Here is a 16,185-nt window from a genome sequence, read left to right on the forward strand (position 1 = left end):
GTTGAGCCACTGTGCCCGGACAAAGCTAGCAGTTCAACTTAATATGAACATCTGATGAGGCTGGGTATGGTGGCTCATACCTGTAATCCCAGCATTTTGGGAGGCAAAGGTGGGAGGACTGCTTGATGCCAGGAGTTTGACACCAGCCTGGGCAACACAGCGAGACCATGTCTTTACAAAAAAATTTAAAAAATAAATAAATATAAAAGAAAATTAGTATTTATAAGAGAAGACTAGTACTTCTCCCTGTTTAAAATAACTTCAAACTGCAATTTCTCTATAGGAAACTTGTACTTACAAAACTTACAGAAGTTCTTGTTAACTATTATTAAGTATAATAATAAAAGAAGCATTTCAGTTACAAGACATAAAAACAAACACCTTCTAAGGATAAGATGCTTAGGTGTTATTGTACCTTCAGATTTAAACAATGACTAAGTACTTCAAAATAAGGTGAGAAATTCTGTACTTACATGTTTAAAACAGGTAACCGGAGCTGCTATAAAGCTATTGCTATTGATGTAGTTACCCCAGCTGAAACCTTCCATGGAGACTGCTAAAATGAAACAAATTTAGATGTATTATAATTCTCAAATCTTTTATTTATAAGAAGGTTATCATTGTTAAAATGTGTGAAAGGACATAAAATTAATTTATCCCATTTAAAGAACGTTTTCTTTATGTAAAGATCAAATAACTTCTCTAAATAGCATGAGCTTTGGCTTATATCATATTTGCAAACAAACAGGAGTTTCTTTATGTTTTTGAGACTGAGTCTCCCTCTGACACCTAGGCTGGAGTGCAGTGGCATGATCTTGGCTCACTGGAACTTCTGCTTCCCAGGTTCAAGTGATTCTCCTGCCTCAGCCTCCCGAGCATCTGGGACTACAGGTGCATGCCACCACACCCAGCTAATTTTTGTATTTTTAGTAGAGACGGGGTTTCACCATATTGGCCAGGCTGGTCTTCAACTCCTGACCTCGTGATCCACCTGTCTTGGCCCTGGGATTACAGGTGTGAGCCACCACGCCTGGCCAGGAGTTTCTTAACTGTTCTATACATGACACATGCTCCTGAGGAAGTGAGGTACAAGCTCTTTGGTTAAGGGGAACAAAGAGAAGTTGAGAGAAGTGTACAGAATGACAAACACTGTTGTGGCTGCTTTTGTGCTTTTATTTCCATTCAGTTCTTGCCATGTACCTCAGTGAGATACCTACCCCATATCACTTTTAATTACCTCACTTTCTATTTACTTCTATTTACTCACTTATTGCCTCTTCTATTTACTCACTTATTGCCCTTCTCACTATTTACTCTCTTATTGCTCTCCTCATTATTTACTCACTTATTGCTTCACTTTCTATTTACTTCTATTAAAAATCTTCTGGCTGGGCGCTGTGGCTCACACCTGTATTCCCAGCACTTTGGGAGGCTGAGGTGGGTGGATCATTTGAGGTCTGGAGTTCTAGACCAGCCTGGCCAACATGGTGAAACCCTATCTCTACTAAAAATACAAAAATAAGCCAAGTGTGGTGGCGTGCGCCTGTAGTCTCAGCTACTTGGGAGGCTGAGACATGAGAATTGTTCGAACCCATGAGGCAGAGGTTACAGTGAGCCGAGATCACGCCACTGAACTCTAGCCTGAGTGACAGAGCAAGACTCTGTCTCCAAAAAAAAAAAAAAAAAAAAAAAAAAATCTATTGGAAATGGTCCTTTCCTTAATCTCCTCTTACTACTCTTCTTCCCTCAATCCCTTTGAAGCCTGCTGAACATCCCATTTCTTTGCCTAATATCTTCACAATTCAAAGAATCTGTACATGAAAAGTAAATAATAAACCAAATAAAAACATTAAGGAGACTGCCAAAAGCACTTGAACTTATGCATGCAACTATACTCTTCTAGAGTAATTTATTGAAATCAAAACAACTATTAGGAAGCTTAGAGCTGTAATGTGCTGACAGGACATAGAAACAGCTAGTTAAACAGAATTCAAAATTACAATGTCATTAATTAAAACTAAATGAATCAATGTCATATATTTCACCTCTGTCAGATTCACCAATATTACCTGCTTTTGTCTTTGCTTGATTTTGCAAGGTAGCTTGATACTGAGCATATGCGGCTAGCTTAGCAACTAAAGGTTGTTTCTGAAGAACTTTTGCTTTCTTTGTTGGAGGCTTACCCTAAAACAAGAAAAGTTAAGTAAATAGGATTCTTTTTCATCCCCTCACCACCACAATTTAACTGGACTGCATACTACACATTCTGCTTAAGTAAACATTGAGGGTTTAGAAAATTATTAAAGCAGAGGAAACATACAAGAATTTTAACATGAGAATTTTTTTCTGGAGTTCTGCTACAATGTAGTTATCTAATATGGGTAGCAGAGCTGGCATAGACTACAACAGCAATATGCAAATTAATATGTTAATAAAAAATTATATCCCACAAGATGTTAAAATATAGGCTGTGGTGGATACTTGATTCCTTCTTACAGTAGATAGAACCAGTGGTTATTTACTCATGCAGGTTGCCAAGCATTGCTATTTATATGGTAAGAGAAGATAATTTAATGTTCAAAGAGCAAGTGACTGAGGTTTATACCTTTAGTGCTAACGCAAAAGATCAATGACAAAATGATCATGGGCCAAATTCACAGTGTGACAAACTGCCATCCATTTGGGTACAGACCACTGCTCAGGATCTTTAGGTACTGTCTATCTGAAATATAGAAATACATCTAAGTGATGTATTTCCTTAATTTGGAGGATTTAAATAACCCTTTCAGTGCTATGTAATGATCACAATAATAAATTAAATGAGAAGACTGTGATCATCCAATAAAAATACTGCAAAAATCAGTTAAGTTAATGCCTTTAAAAAGTAGTTTACAATACAATAGTAAGAACTTAGTCAAATGGTCAAGTCTCCAGTCATTTTGTAGGCACTGATGTACATTTAAAGCAAGACGATTTTCTTTCCATACCATGAGCGTTGTCAAAAAGGTTAGTTGGATTAACCAAATACATTTGGTCAATGTATCAAATGGATTGTACTAAAAAGTACAAAGCGAGGACGATGAGAAAATAAAACCAGAGATTAAATTATTTCCCCCCAAATGTTGAAAGATTCTACCTTGATGTTAACACAAAAGGAAACAAGGGGAAACAGGAAAATGTCTTCAATTTCTGTATATAAAAAAGTGTTTATACTTATTTGGAAAAAGGATATTTTAATTAACTTCTGCAAATAATAGTTTATTTGGATAGTATGCCTTATCCATTTAAAATAGTTTTTCAATTTTATAGGCTGAACAAACTTTGGGGCTCACATGTTTCCTCAAGATGTGGTATAAAACCATAACTGAGTGGGCAGAGGTGGAGTACAGTGAATCACAGTCAAATGACAGATAAATGGCAAAAGCCATAGAAATAATGGATATAAGTAAGAAAGTTTCTGTACCGTTACCTGAAGTCTGGCCAAAATGCTTGCCTTCTTGGAGTTTGACGAGTAACTTCTTGAACATGAAACGCTACAGAAACGCTTTGTTTTAGAGTAAAAAGCATCTCGGACGCCAACCATCCCACACATCTCACAGGTAGCTAATTAACAAAATAAAAACACTGGTGTTATGATGATATAATAAAATCAATCTTCATCTAACAGTTTAAATAATTTCTCCTGCCATCTGAAAGTTTTAATTAAAAAATTTGCCTTGAACATTTCTTCTATCTCCTATACAAATGATAAAGAAGCCTGCACAGAGAAGTCAGAGAGAACACTGGTATTGTGCCATGGTGATGGGCTCTATAAGGTCTGATAGTGGCTTGAGGTCTGAAAGGTTTACAAAGGGTCAACAGAAACAGGGCAGATACGCTGGATTCAACCAACATTTCCTTAGTGCTTACCATGTGCCAGGCATTTTCATATACAACAAATTCCAGCTTTTGAAATGATTACACTTGAAAGATGAAAAGTGCCACACAACTGAGGATTAATAACAAAGTATAACACAGGCCTTTAAAATACTGCAAAGGTTGAAACTTAAAAAGAGGTAATACTTGGAAAAATGCTAAGAGCTGTATGAGGATTCCTTCAAGTTATGTTTAGGGGACAAAAAAAAGGAATGGGTTCAAAGTTTGAGGTAGAGGCCAGGTGTAGTGACTCATGCCAGTAATCCCAGAACTTTGGGAGGCCGAGGCAGGAGAACTGGCTCAAGGCCAGGAGTATGGGACCAGCCTGGGCAAGATAGCAAGATCCAGTATCTTCAAAAAATAAAAATAAAAAAGAGCCAGGCATGGTAGCACACACCTGTAGTCCCAGCTATTCAGGAGGCTGAGGCGGGAGGACTGCTTAAGTCCAGGAGTTCAGGGTTACAGTGAGCTATGATCGCACCACTGCACTCTCGCCTGGACAACAGAAGGAGATCCTGAATCAAAAACAAAAAACAAAACAAAACAAACAAACAAAAAACAAAACAAGTTTGACGTAGGTGCTCTATTATTAATCAGTGATAGTGGGAAACAGCAGAACTCTTGGCTACTATTGCATAATAGACAATAATTTGAAAGGTAGAATTAGAACAAGGTTCACAAGAATTGAAGTTTAAAAAAGATAAACAAAAAGTAACATAGCAAATAACTGCCTTAGTGAGTTAAAGCCTCCACCCAAACAGGTAAACTGGAGAAGCCTGTAGTGTAACTGGTACGGTTGGCTCTGTGCTTCCATGGGTTCTGTATCTGTGGATTCAACCAAAAGCAGACTGAAAATATTTTGGGAAAAAAAAATTGCGTCTGTACTGACCATACACAGACCGTTTTTTTCTTATTATTCTCTAAACAGTATAGTATTAACAATTATTTGCATGGCATTTACATTGTATTAGCTATAAGTAATCTAGACATGATTTAAAGTATATGGAAGGATGTGCGTAAGTTATATGTAAATACCACATCATTTTATATAAGGAATTTGAGCATTTGTGAATTTGGTATCTGAGGGAAATCTTGGAACCAATCCCCCATGGATACCAGGGGACAACTGTACTTACTTACAAATCTATGAGAAATCATGGAAAAAAGATAAAAATGCCAGAAGATTGCAGGTGAACAAAGGGTATCTACTGGGAGAGAAAACTAAACGGTTTTCTGTTGCAAAAATTCTAGAATAGATTGTTAAAGAACGTTCTGAACACCTAGATAGAAAAGTTGTGATCCCAAGGAAACAGTGAATCTTTGCCAGAAATTATACATGTCAAACTAGAATTCCCACAAGTAGGATGCAAGTTCCATCAGGACAGGAAACTTATTCTGTGTTGTTCATCTGCTATCTCCAGTATTTAAAATAGATGCTAGCACACACAAAGCTTCAATAAACGTTATTTCCTTTTATGATAGGATTACTAGGCTGGTATGTTATAATCAAACCATGGCAAGAATATACACTAACAGGAGCTAACACATTTGATAAAATCTCATGTAGCTTTGATAACAGGACTGAGAAATTTCAGCTGGAGTAGAAGACACGGGTAGTTTTTTTGTTTTGTTTTGTTTGTTTTTTTTGAGACACAGTCTCGCTCTGTCACCCAGGCTGGAGTGCAGTGGCACCATCTCGGCTCACTACAACCTCCGCCTTCCGGATTCAAGCAATTCTCCTGCCTCAGCCTCCTGAGTAGCTGGGACTACAGGCACACGCCACCATGCCTGGCTAATTTTTTGTTAGAGATGGGGTTTCACCATGTTGCCCAGGCTGGTCTCGAACTCCTGAGCTTAGGCAATCTGCCCGCCTCAGCCTCCCAAAGTACTAGGATTACAGGTGTGAGCCACCAACGCCCAGCGACACCCAGGTAGGTTTTAACTGGAGGATGACCAAACCCAGTGAATCCTGATAAATGAAGTTTTTTGATATGGTCTGCATGACTCTCTATCAGCCCCTGAGCTGTTCATAATTTTTTTTAGTTTTTTGAAGTCTCGCTCTGTAGCCAGGCTGGAGTGCAGTGGCGTGATCTCAGCTCACTGCAACCTCTGCCTCCTGGGTACAAGCAATTCTCCTGCCTCAGCCTCCTGAATAGCTGGGACTACAGGCACATGACACCATGCCCAGCTAATTTTTTTCAATTTTTTTTCGCAGAGACGGGGTTTCACCATGTTGTCCAGGATGGTCTCGATTTCTTGACCTCATGATCTGCCTGCCTCGGCCTCCCAAAGTGCTGGGATTACAGGCATGAGCCACCGCACCTGGCCACGCTATTCATCTTTTTAACCAAAAGACTAGAATAGGACCAACAGGGCAGAATTATCAAAACTGAAAATGATATAAAACTGGAAGATTAGATGACACAGCATTCAATATTAGATGACAGAATTAGCAATAAAAAATTTCTAAGACTGGGCAGGGTGCAGTGGCTCACACCTGTAATCCCAGCACTTTGGGAGGCTGAGGCAGGTGGATCGCTTGAGTTCAGGAGTTTGAGACCAGCCTGGGCAATATGGTGAAAATTGCCCGTCTCTGAAAAAAATACAAAAATTAGCCAGGTATGGTAGCATGTGCCTACAGTACCAGCTACTTGGGAGGATGAGGTGAGAGGATCACCTGAGCTCGGGAGGCAGAGATTGCAGTGAGTCGAGATCTTGCCGCTGCCATTCCAGCCTGGGTAATACAGCAAGACTGTCTCAACAACAACAACAACAAAAGCCTGGGCGTGGTGGCTCACCCCAGTAATCCCAGCACTTTGAGAGGCCGAGGCAGGCAGATTGCTTAAGGTCAGGAGTTTGAGACCGGCCTGGCCAATATGGTGAAACCCTATCTTTACTAAAAATATGAAAATACGCCAGGCATGGTGGTGCAGGCCTGTAGTCCCAGCTACTTGCGAGGCTGAGGCAGGAGAATTGCTTGAACCCGGGAGGTGGAGGCTACAGTGAGCCGAGATTGCACCACTGCACTCCAGCTTGGGCATCAGAGTGAGACTGTCTCAACAACAACAACAACAATTTCTAAGACTGAAAGTTAGTAAGAAAAAGGTTATATAGAGAGATCCAAAGTCCTACATCTTGGGTTTAAAAAGTTAACTGCAGTAAGACTGGTTTAAACTGGGTTAGTTCATGTGGTAAAGGTCAAAGGATATCAGTTATTTACAAGTTCATTATCATTTTCAAGAAAGCTAAAGCAATTTTGGTGGCATGAATGGAAACAGTGCCTTGAAAAGGGGAGATAAAGGTTGAATGATCTTCTGGCCTCACACAGGGTGACCATTTGTTTGGTTCCCACATTTCCAGGATGTGGGACTTTCAATGGTAAAACCAGGACAGTTCCAGGCAAATCAGGATGACTTGTTACCCTACTACCACATAATCTGAAGTATCCCCAGAATACAGTGACCAGGATATCAAAGAATTAAATCACTGGGATACACCATGAGAGAAATGGTTGAAGCAACTATGGCTCCTTGGTATGCCTTAGAGATAAACTAGAACGAAGGGTTCTATTGTGGAGAAAAAAGATGTCATTAGAACAAGGATTAGAATTATTCTGTGTAGCTTTAAAAAGCAAAACTTTCCAGACTCCCAGAAGCAAAGTTAAAAAGGCAAAACTAAGACCAAAAGATAAAAGTTGGAGGAAGGAAATTTTGGTTCAATAAAGACACTATTCTAGTAATTTGAGATACTAAGAAATGAAACTGCTTCCTTTTTCATTTCCTTTTTCTTTTTCAAGCCAGATTTTAGGCAGAGAGAAATTCCTTACTGAGTCAGAGAATATCCAAGCACCAGTTATGTTAAAACGGAAATTATAAGAAATTAATATAGAGGAGGGAGCCCAACCTCGAATGTCTCTTTCAATTTTATAAGCCCATGATCCTATGCACTTATACTTTCAGTTACAGAGGCATTTCTTATCTAATTACTAAATTTATATCCACATGAAGTTTCTCACTGGCCTTTTTTTGTTGTTGTTGTATTTGCTTTCCACCAGGAGGTAGGCAAAATAAAGAGTTAAACACCAACTCAGTGATCTTATCTCGAATTATAAACGTCAGCTCTTCAAACTGCCCCTTAATAATTCTAAGGAAGGGGAAATGACAGAAGAAACCAAATGAAAACACACCCTTAAACATAAAGCTGTAGAACAGGTGAAGGTTATAAATACTCACCCATGCCAGATTTACCATCTGGGTATGTGTAGACTTGCCCATTGTTTTTGATAATCGGGAGATTAGAAGGTAAAGGAGCGACTTCTTCCTCACTCTCTTCGGAGCTGGAGCTGCTGCTTGTGTCCTCACTGCAGCTATCATAACCGTCAAACATCCCGAAAGAATCTCTTCTTTTCCTTTCAGATCGTGAAGAATGTTCAGTCTTTGAAGTAAGAGAAACCAGTGACACATGACACAACACTCATACACACCCCCTAAAAGACCCTAGCACAAATTCTGGTAAATGAGATTTGATAAATGAAAACGCAGCCCTGAGAAATAACCATTTTCTTTCTTTTTTTTTTCTTTTTTTAAAAAATGCTTTGAGACAGAGTCTCGCTCTGTCACCCAGGCTGGAGTGCAGTGACAATCTTCGGTCACTGCAACCTCCACCTCCCGCACTCAGATGATCCTCCCACCTTGGCCTCCTGAGTAGCTGGGACTACAGGCAAGTGCCACCATCCCATAAACATTTTTGTGTTTTTTTTTTTGTAGAGATGGGGTTCTGCCATGTTGCCCAGGCTGGTCTTTAATTCCTCGTCTCAAGCAATCTGCCCACTCAAGCCTCCCAGAGTGCTCGGATTATGGATGTGAGCCACCTCCCTGCCTCAAGGGATGTCCTGCCTCTGCATCCCAAAGCACTGGGATGACAGGCGTGAGCCAGTGTGCCTCGCCCAGATTTCTTTTTTCTTTTTAATTATGGGATGGGCGTGGTGGCTCATGCCTATATTCCTAGCACTTTTTTTTTTTGAGACTCGGTCTCACTCTGTTGCCCAGGCTGGAGTGCAGTGGCACAATCTCGGCTCACTGCAACCTCTGCCTCCTGGGTTCAAGTGATTCTCCTGCCTCAGTCTCCTGAGTAGCTGTGATTACAGGTGCATGCCACCACACCCAGCTAATTTTCGTATTTTTAGTAGAGACAGGGTTTTGCCATGTTGGCCAGGCTGTTCTCAAACTCCTGAACTCAGGTGATCCGCCCACCTCGGCCTCCCAAAGTGCTGAGATTACAGGTGTGAGGCACCACACCCAGCCTAATCCTAGCACTTTGGGAGGCCGAGGTGGGATGATAGCTTGAGCCCAGGAGTTTGAGACCAGCCTGGGCAACATGGTGAGACTCCCACTCTACCAAAAAAAAACACAAAAAAACAAAACAAAACAAAAAAACCATATAAAAATAATTGTGGGCCAGGCATGGTGGCTCACTCCTATAATCCCAGCACTTTGGGAGGCCGAGGTGGTCAGAGGAGTTTGAGGAGTTGAGGAGTTTGAGACCAGCCTGGGCAACATGACGAAACCCTGACTCTACAAAAAATGCAAAAATTAGCTGAGTGTGGTGGCACGCATCTGTAGTCCCAGCTATGTGGGAGGATCACTAGAGCCTGGGAGGTGGAGGTTGCAGTGAGTTGAGATCATGCCACTGCACTCCAGCCTGTGTGACAGAGAGAGACCATGTCTCAAAAATAAAATAAAATAAAATAAAAATCGTGGTGAAATATACATAACAAACATGATTTTTAAATTTGCCTTTCATCTCTAAAACTAAACTTCTAGACCAATTTGGAGTATCCAGAAAATATGGATGCTTTTTTTCTTTCTTTTTTTGATGACAGAGTCTCGCTCTGTCACCCAGGCTGGAGTGCAGTGGTATGATCTCAGCTCACTGCAATCTCCATCTCCCAGGCTCATGTGATTCTTGTGCCTCAGTCTCTCGAGTAGCTGGGACTACAGGTGAGTGCCAACATGCCCAGCTAACTTTTGTACTTTTAGTAGAGATGGGGTTTTGCTATGTTGGTGAGGATGGTATTGAACTCCTGGCCTCAAGTGATCGCCTGCCTTGGCTTCCCAAAGTGCTGGGATTACAGGTGTGAGGCACCGCACCCAGCCAACACACAGACGTTTTTAAAAATTGCTTTGGGCTGGGCGCGGTGACTCACGCCTGTAATCCCAGTACTTCGGGAGGCCGAGGCAGGCGGATCACAAGGTCAGGAGATCGAGACCATCCTGGCTAACACGGTGAAACCCCGCCTCTACTAAAAATATAAAAAATTAGTTGGGTGTGGTGCCAGGTGCCTGTAGTCCCAGCTACTGGGGAGGATGAGGCAGGAGAATGGCATGAACCTGGGAGGCGGAGCTTGCAGTGAGCTGAGATTGAGCCACTGCATTCCAGCCTGGGTGACAGAGCGAGACTCTGTCTCCAAAAAAAAAAAAAAAAAAAAAAAAAATTGCTTTGCTGGCTGGGCATGGTGGCTCGCATCTGTAATCCTAGTACTTTGAGAAGTCAAGGCTGGTGGATTGCTTGAGCCCAGGAGTTCAAGACTAGCCTGGGCAATATGGCAAAACTCCATCTCTACAAAAAATACAAAAATTAGCCAAGTGTGGTGGCTTGCACCTGTGGTCCCAGCTACTTGGGAGGCTGAAGTAGGAGGATAGCTTGACCTCAGGAGGTCGAGGCTGCAGTGAGCCACGATCGTGCCCCTGCACTTCAGCTTGGGTGACTGAGTGAGACCCTGTCTCAAACTCAAAACCAAGAACCACTTTGCTTGATACTTTATCATGTTGGAAAAGAAAAAAAAAATCACTGCTAAAAGCTCTGAAGGGTCTAACAGAAAATTTTGCCTTTCAGCTGGGTGCAGTGGCTCACGCCTGTAATCCCAGTACTTTGGGAGGCTGAGGCGGGGAGATCACCTGAGGTCAGGAGTTTGAGACCAGCCTAGTCCACGTGGGGAAATCCCGTCTCTACTAAAAATATATACAAATTAGCCGAGCGTGGTGGTGCATGCCTGTAGTCCCAGCTACTTGGGAGGCTGAGGCACGAGAATCGCTTGAACCCAGGAGGCAGAGGTTGCAGTCAGCCAAGATTGCACCACTGCACTCCAGCCTGGGCGACAGAGCAAGATTCCGTCTCAAGAAAAAAAAAAAAAAAGAAAATTTTACCTTTTACAATTTTAAGATGGCAAATATTTCAGAAATTGTAGGAGATAATATTTCTACATATATATTTATTCAGTTTTTAAAAAAACATAAACAATGGTTTAAAACCCAACCCAATTTTCTCAAGCTAAACAGTATTTCCTCAGAAAACCAAATACCACATGTTCTCACTTATAAGTGGGAGCTAAATGATGAGAACACATGGACACATAGAGGAAACAGCAGACACTGGGGCCTATTGGAGGGTAGAGGGTGGGAGGAGGGAGAGGACCAGGAAAAATAACGAATGAGTACTAGGCTACTAGGCTTAGTATCTGGGTGATGAAATAATCTGTTCGACAAACCCCCATGACACACATTTACCCACGTAGCAAACCTGCACAAGTACCCATGAACTTAAAATAGAAGTATTAAAAAAATTTCCTTTTCAAAGAAAGATACAAAGAAGTTATATCATCTTTAGTGAATGCTGGTCTTATGTCTCCTCCAAGATGTTGCCTCATTCAAACCACGAAAAAAAAAAAAAAACAAGACAAAACTAATATTGCTACTCTAACCATTTCCAAAATAAATTGCATAACTACAGGCTTTGTGAGAAGTGAAAAGAAAATAGGAGACAATAAAAAGGACAAAAAAAAAAAAAAATTGGGAGGCTGGGCGCGGTGGGTCACGCCTGTAATTCCAGCACTTTGGGAGGCTGAGGTCAGGAGTTTGAGACCAGCCTGGCCAATATGGCGAAACCCCACCTCTACTAAAAATACAAAAAAAAATTAGCCGGGAGCAGTGGTAGGCGCCCGTAATCCCAGCTACTCGGGAGGCTGAGGCAGGGAGAAATGCTTGAACCCGGGAGGCAGAGATTGCAGTGAGCTGAGATGGCGCCACTGTACTCCAGCCTGGGTGACAGAGTAAGAGTCCTTCTCGGGGGTGGGTGGGTGGGAAAAGGGAAAGGTATCTCAAATGCAAAATAAAAACAGGAGACGGGCCACTGGCTGAGGCCCAGCTCATGTCCCTAAACCTAACAAACAAACAAACAACAGAAAAAAAAAAACAAGAAAAAGAAAAAACAAATGGGCCAGGTGCAGTGTCTCACGCCTGTAATCCCAGCACTCTGGGAGGCCGAGGCTGGAGGACTGCCTGAGCCCAGGAGTTCAAGACCAATCTGGGCAACATAGGGAGACCCTATCTCTACTAAACAAACAAGAAAACAAAACCAAACCATTACAAAACATTAAGTGAGTTATAACCAGAGAGATGAAAACTATCAACTCAAGAATCTTTGAGATTTGGCACCTATCCTTTTTCTTTTGCTACACAGATACAGTTTTTTTTTTAATCCTCTCACACTACACTTTAAGCTAAAATTTTTTTTTCCTGGCTAGTCTACCTTCTTTTTGGTATTAAATGACCACAAAACAAAGCTAGTATTACATGACCAGTAACAAGGCTGAAATCTGTTGTCCTAAGTTTGACAAGATAAAACCATCCACATGTCATTGTCAGGTATTAAACATTTGCATTGAGACAGGAAACTAATTTTCAGTTGTATCAGGTGCAGCTATGAAAGCTACAAAAACTGATTTCTTAGTCCACACAATGGAAATATTACATTACCAAAGAAGTTCCCTTGGGAGGTTATATACACGTTCTAATAATGTTGCCACAGCCCAGGCATTTTTAGTATACTTTTTTTTTTTTTTTTTTGAGACAGAGTCTTGCTCTGTCACCCAGGCTGGAGTGCAGTGGCGCAATCTTGGCTCACTGCAAGCTCCGTCTCCTGGGTTCACGCCATTCTCCTGCCTCAGCATCCCAAGTAGATGGGATTACAGGCGCCCACCACCACGCCCGGCTAATTTTTTGTATTTTTAGTAGAGATGGGATTTCACCTCGTTAACCAGGATGGTCTCGATCTCCTGACCTCATGATCCCCGTCTCGGCCTCCCAAAATGCTGGGATTACAGGCGTGAGCCACTGCACCCAGCCAGTATACTTTTTTAGTACTGCCTTTTAGATACAATTTTAAAAAGAAAAACCTATCATTTGTGGACACTTCAGAATTATTCCTCCTGTTCCCTGCATCAGTCTTCCCTAGCTTGGTCATCTAACCTGATTCAGCAGATTTGGTTCTGAATAACTTTTAGGTATTTCTATAAATCAAAGGTATTTTCAAAGAATCAAGATTTGCTACAATCAGAAGATCTAAAAGATGAAGTGAGACCTTGAAGGCAATACAAAAGAAAAGTTCTAATAGCACTTTGAACTGACAATGTGGAAGGGAATGGGACAACCACATTTAGATACAGTGTGGTGTTATGAACACAGAATTCTGACAAACATGGGTTAAGACTCAACTTTGATACTTGTTAGCTGTGAACTTGTGCAAGTTATGGGTTTCTTCTCTTACTCATTCGACATTTATCAAGTATTTGTGGGTCTCATAGTAACCAAGGCTAAAGACAGAAAAGCATGCAAAGCAGACAAGATCCATGGTTTTCAGGAAGACTGTAAGCTACTGGTAGGAGGAAACCAAGCAAGGCTGTGTGAGGGCAGAGTCACTCAAGCAGGGGCGATTAGCTGAGATTCAGCAGTGAGGAACAATCTCAGTGAGGTAAGACCATGAGGACAAAAAGGCAGCCACTTAAATATCTGATGCTGGCATATTCTAGGCAAAGGGAAGTGCAAGACGAGGGCTTTTGGGCTAGAATAAACTTAGCACACTCGGAGGCCAGTGTGGCTGGCACCCAGTGTGAAAGGTATGGGAGAGGTCAGAGGATGTAGGGGCCAGATTATGAGGGCCCTTGTAGGCCAGGGTAAGAAACTGATTTTTTTCCTGGAGGCAATGGGAAGACATTATAAACTATTTATCACAGAGCCTGCTCTACACATTTAATAAACACTGGCTAGATTTTACGTTCTAATAGAGTCATACAGCTCACCTCCATTTGGAGGCGACCTTCTATACTCATAGTTTTTTTTGTTTTTTGAGACAGTCTTGCTCTGTTGCCCAGGTTGGAGTGCAGTGGCACGATCTCAGCTCACTGCAACCTCCGCCTCCTGAGTTCAAGCGATTCTTCTGCCTCAGCCTCTTGAGTAGCTGGGACTACAGGCGCCTGCCACCACGCCAGGCTAACTTTTGTATTTTTAGTAGAGATGGGGTTTCGCCATGTTGGTCAGGCTGGTCTCAAACTCCTGACCTTGTGATCTGCCCGCCTTGGCCTCCCAAAGTGCTAGGATTACAGGTGTGAGCCACCAGCCCGGCCAGACCTTTTATATCTATAGTTTTCATATAGGCTTGTCTACTATTAATATATAGCCAACTTGGTTAGCAGCTAATGTAAGATTATTGACCCTTAAATGTCAACCCAGAATATCTTATTCTGACTCTATTTTCAGGGAATATAGCCTTAAAATTTCAGGAGGTCAATGACTACAGATATTTTGTTTTCAATAATTACAAGCTGTTAGTATTTTTTTTTTAAAAGTACCATGGTCAAAGATGTTTGGGAAATTTTCCTCACGTCAAGGTCTTCTGGAGACTTTAATATGCTTATGAACATTATAGTGATTAAAGAGGAATATACAGTATGCAGTCTTTTCTAGAGTACCTTTTAGGACTGTTTTAGAGAAATGTTCTCTGATCTTTTCCATGGTCCTAGCACACACAGAAAATGATCATCTGCACAACACAAGGGGAATAAACCCCTGGATGCACCCAGCCTAAGGCCTCTGACTGTCCTAAGTATTGGAGGAATGAATACCTGGACATACTCCTAATCTAAGGAACACTAGTTCATAAGCTTTATTCTATTTAGGCAATGTGGTTTTCTGAAGTGATTTTTTTTTTTGTACTTTTTCCCCCTTGCAAACACTACAGTGACTTATCTAAGTTTTTTTTTTATATATACATTAGGATAGAATACCAGCGAACTAAATATTAATATATAAACTATAATTGATTTATCCTATGTAAAACTTACCTTTTATTTACTATGAGGGCGCTTAACTGGAAACTCCTACATTAGACCAAAACCCCTGAAAGGGTCTGCAACTTCATTAAAAGGATGAGTGAGAAAGAAGTTGATTATACTCAAAAGACCTATGAGGGAGCATTTCAGGTCCACGCTCTCGGTGAAGAGGCTTCTCTGGGATTTTGTAATCACAGGCCTGACCTCATGAGTTAAGTCTGAGGTTGAAATTTTCTCTTCCCTCTATGGTCAGGGAACTCCCAGGCCAAGAAATTAAAGTGGTTCCAGGCTACCAGTGCCCTTTGATACCTAGCAGAAGCAAACCTAAATTAGATCAGGAAATAAGTCACCTACCATTCAGGCCTTTCAGCATTCCCACCAATTTTATCAAGTATGAGCGCACGATCAAATAGCAAACACATAATAAGTAATCCACCATGAGCAAGCATCAGCAGAAACTGATTAAGAATCCCCAATACTTTGGGCATTGGAATTGACAGAGACAGAACATAAAACAAGCATTATGAGTTGTTTAATAAGAAAAATATTATTGAAAAATAAGCAATATAAAACAAACACCAACTTATTAGACATGGCTAAAGAGAATTAAAAAATGGAAGATACATGATAAACACTCAAAATGCAGCAAAGAAAAATAGAAAACTGGAAAACAAGATGTCAAAATAAGAGAACAGAATGTAAAGATCCAATAAAAGTCTAATAAGAATTCTTAAAGGAGTGAGTATGGAGAATGGAGAAAGGCAATGTTGAATTAGATACTGGCTAAGAATTCTGCAGAAATGAGAACATGAATTAGGCCAGGCACAGTGGCTCATGTCTATAATCCCAGAACTGTGGGAGACCAAGGCAGGAGGACCGCTTGAGGCCAGGAGTTCGAGACCAGCCTGAGCAACAAAGTGTGACACTGCCTCTACAAAAAAATAAAAATAAAAATAAAAAAAATTAGGCAGCTGTGGTGGTATGTGCTTGTGGTCCCAGCTACTCAGGAGGCTGAGATGAGAGGATCACTTGAGCACAGGAGATTCAGTCTGCAGTGAGGTGCAATCACAATTGCTCCACTGCACTCCAGCCTAGGTGACAGAGCG

The 16,185-nt window shown here is 41.2% G+C and overlaps 1 protein-coding gene across 22 annotated transcripts in view; it reads right to left on the reverse strand.

Annotated features, from left to right (window-relative positions):
* MBTD1 (mbt domain containing 1) overlaps positions 1-16,185 on the reverse strand; it is an 83,534-nt gene that overhangs the window by 39,436 nt on the left and 27,913 nt on the right. For 12 of the 22 annotated variants that reach the window (XM_011524926.4, XM_047436322.1, XM_011524928.3 and 9 more), the window contains 4 exons: positions 8,148-8,349; positions 3,464-3,603; positions 2,070-2,184; positions 474-556 (listed from right to left, as the gene is read on the reverse strand). In XM_011524926.4, the coding sequence (XP_011523228.1) occupies positions 474-556; positions 2,070-2,184; positions 3,464-3,603; positions 8,148-8,301 (492 nt within the window). In that variant the 5' untranslated portion in view covers positions 8,302-8,349. Of the gene's footprint in view, positions 1-473; positions 559-2,069; positions 2,185-2,605; positions 2,723-3,463; positions 3,604-8,147; positions 8,350-16,185 lie in introns of those variants that run through there. The other 10 variants (XM_011524930.2, XM_005257468.6, XM_011524924.3 and 7 more) reach the window with 5 other exon arrangements.

This window comes from Homo sapiens, chromosome 17 (genome assembly GCF_000001405.40).
Source record: "Homo sapiens chromosome 17, GRCh38.p14 Primary Assembly".
Classification (NCBI taxonomy): Eukaryota; Metazoa; Chordata; class Mammalia; order Primates; family Hominidae; genus Homo; species Homo sapiens.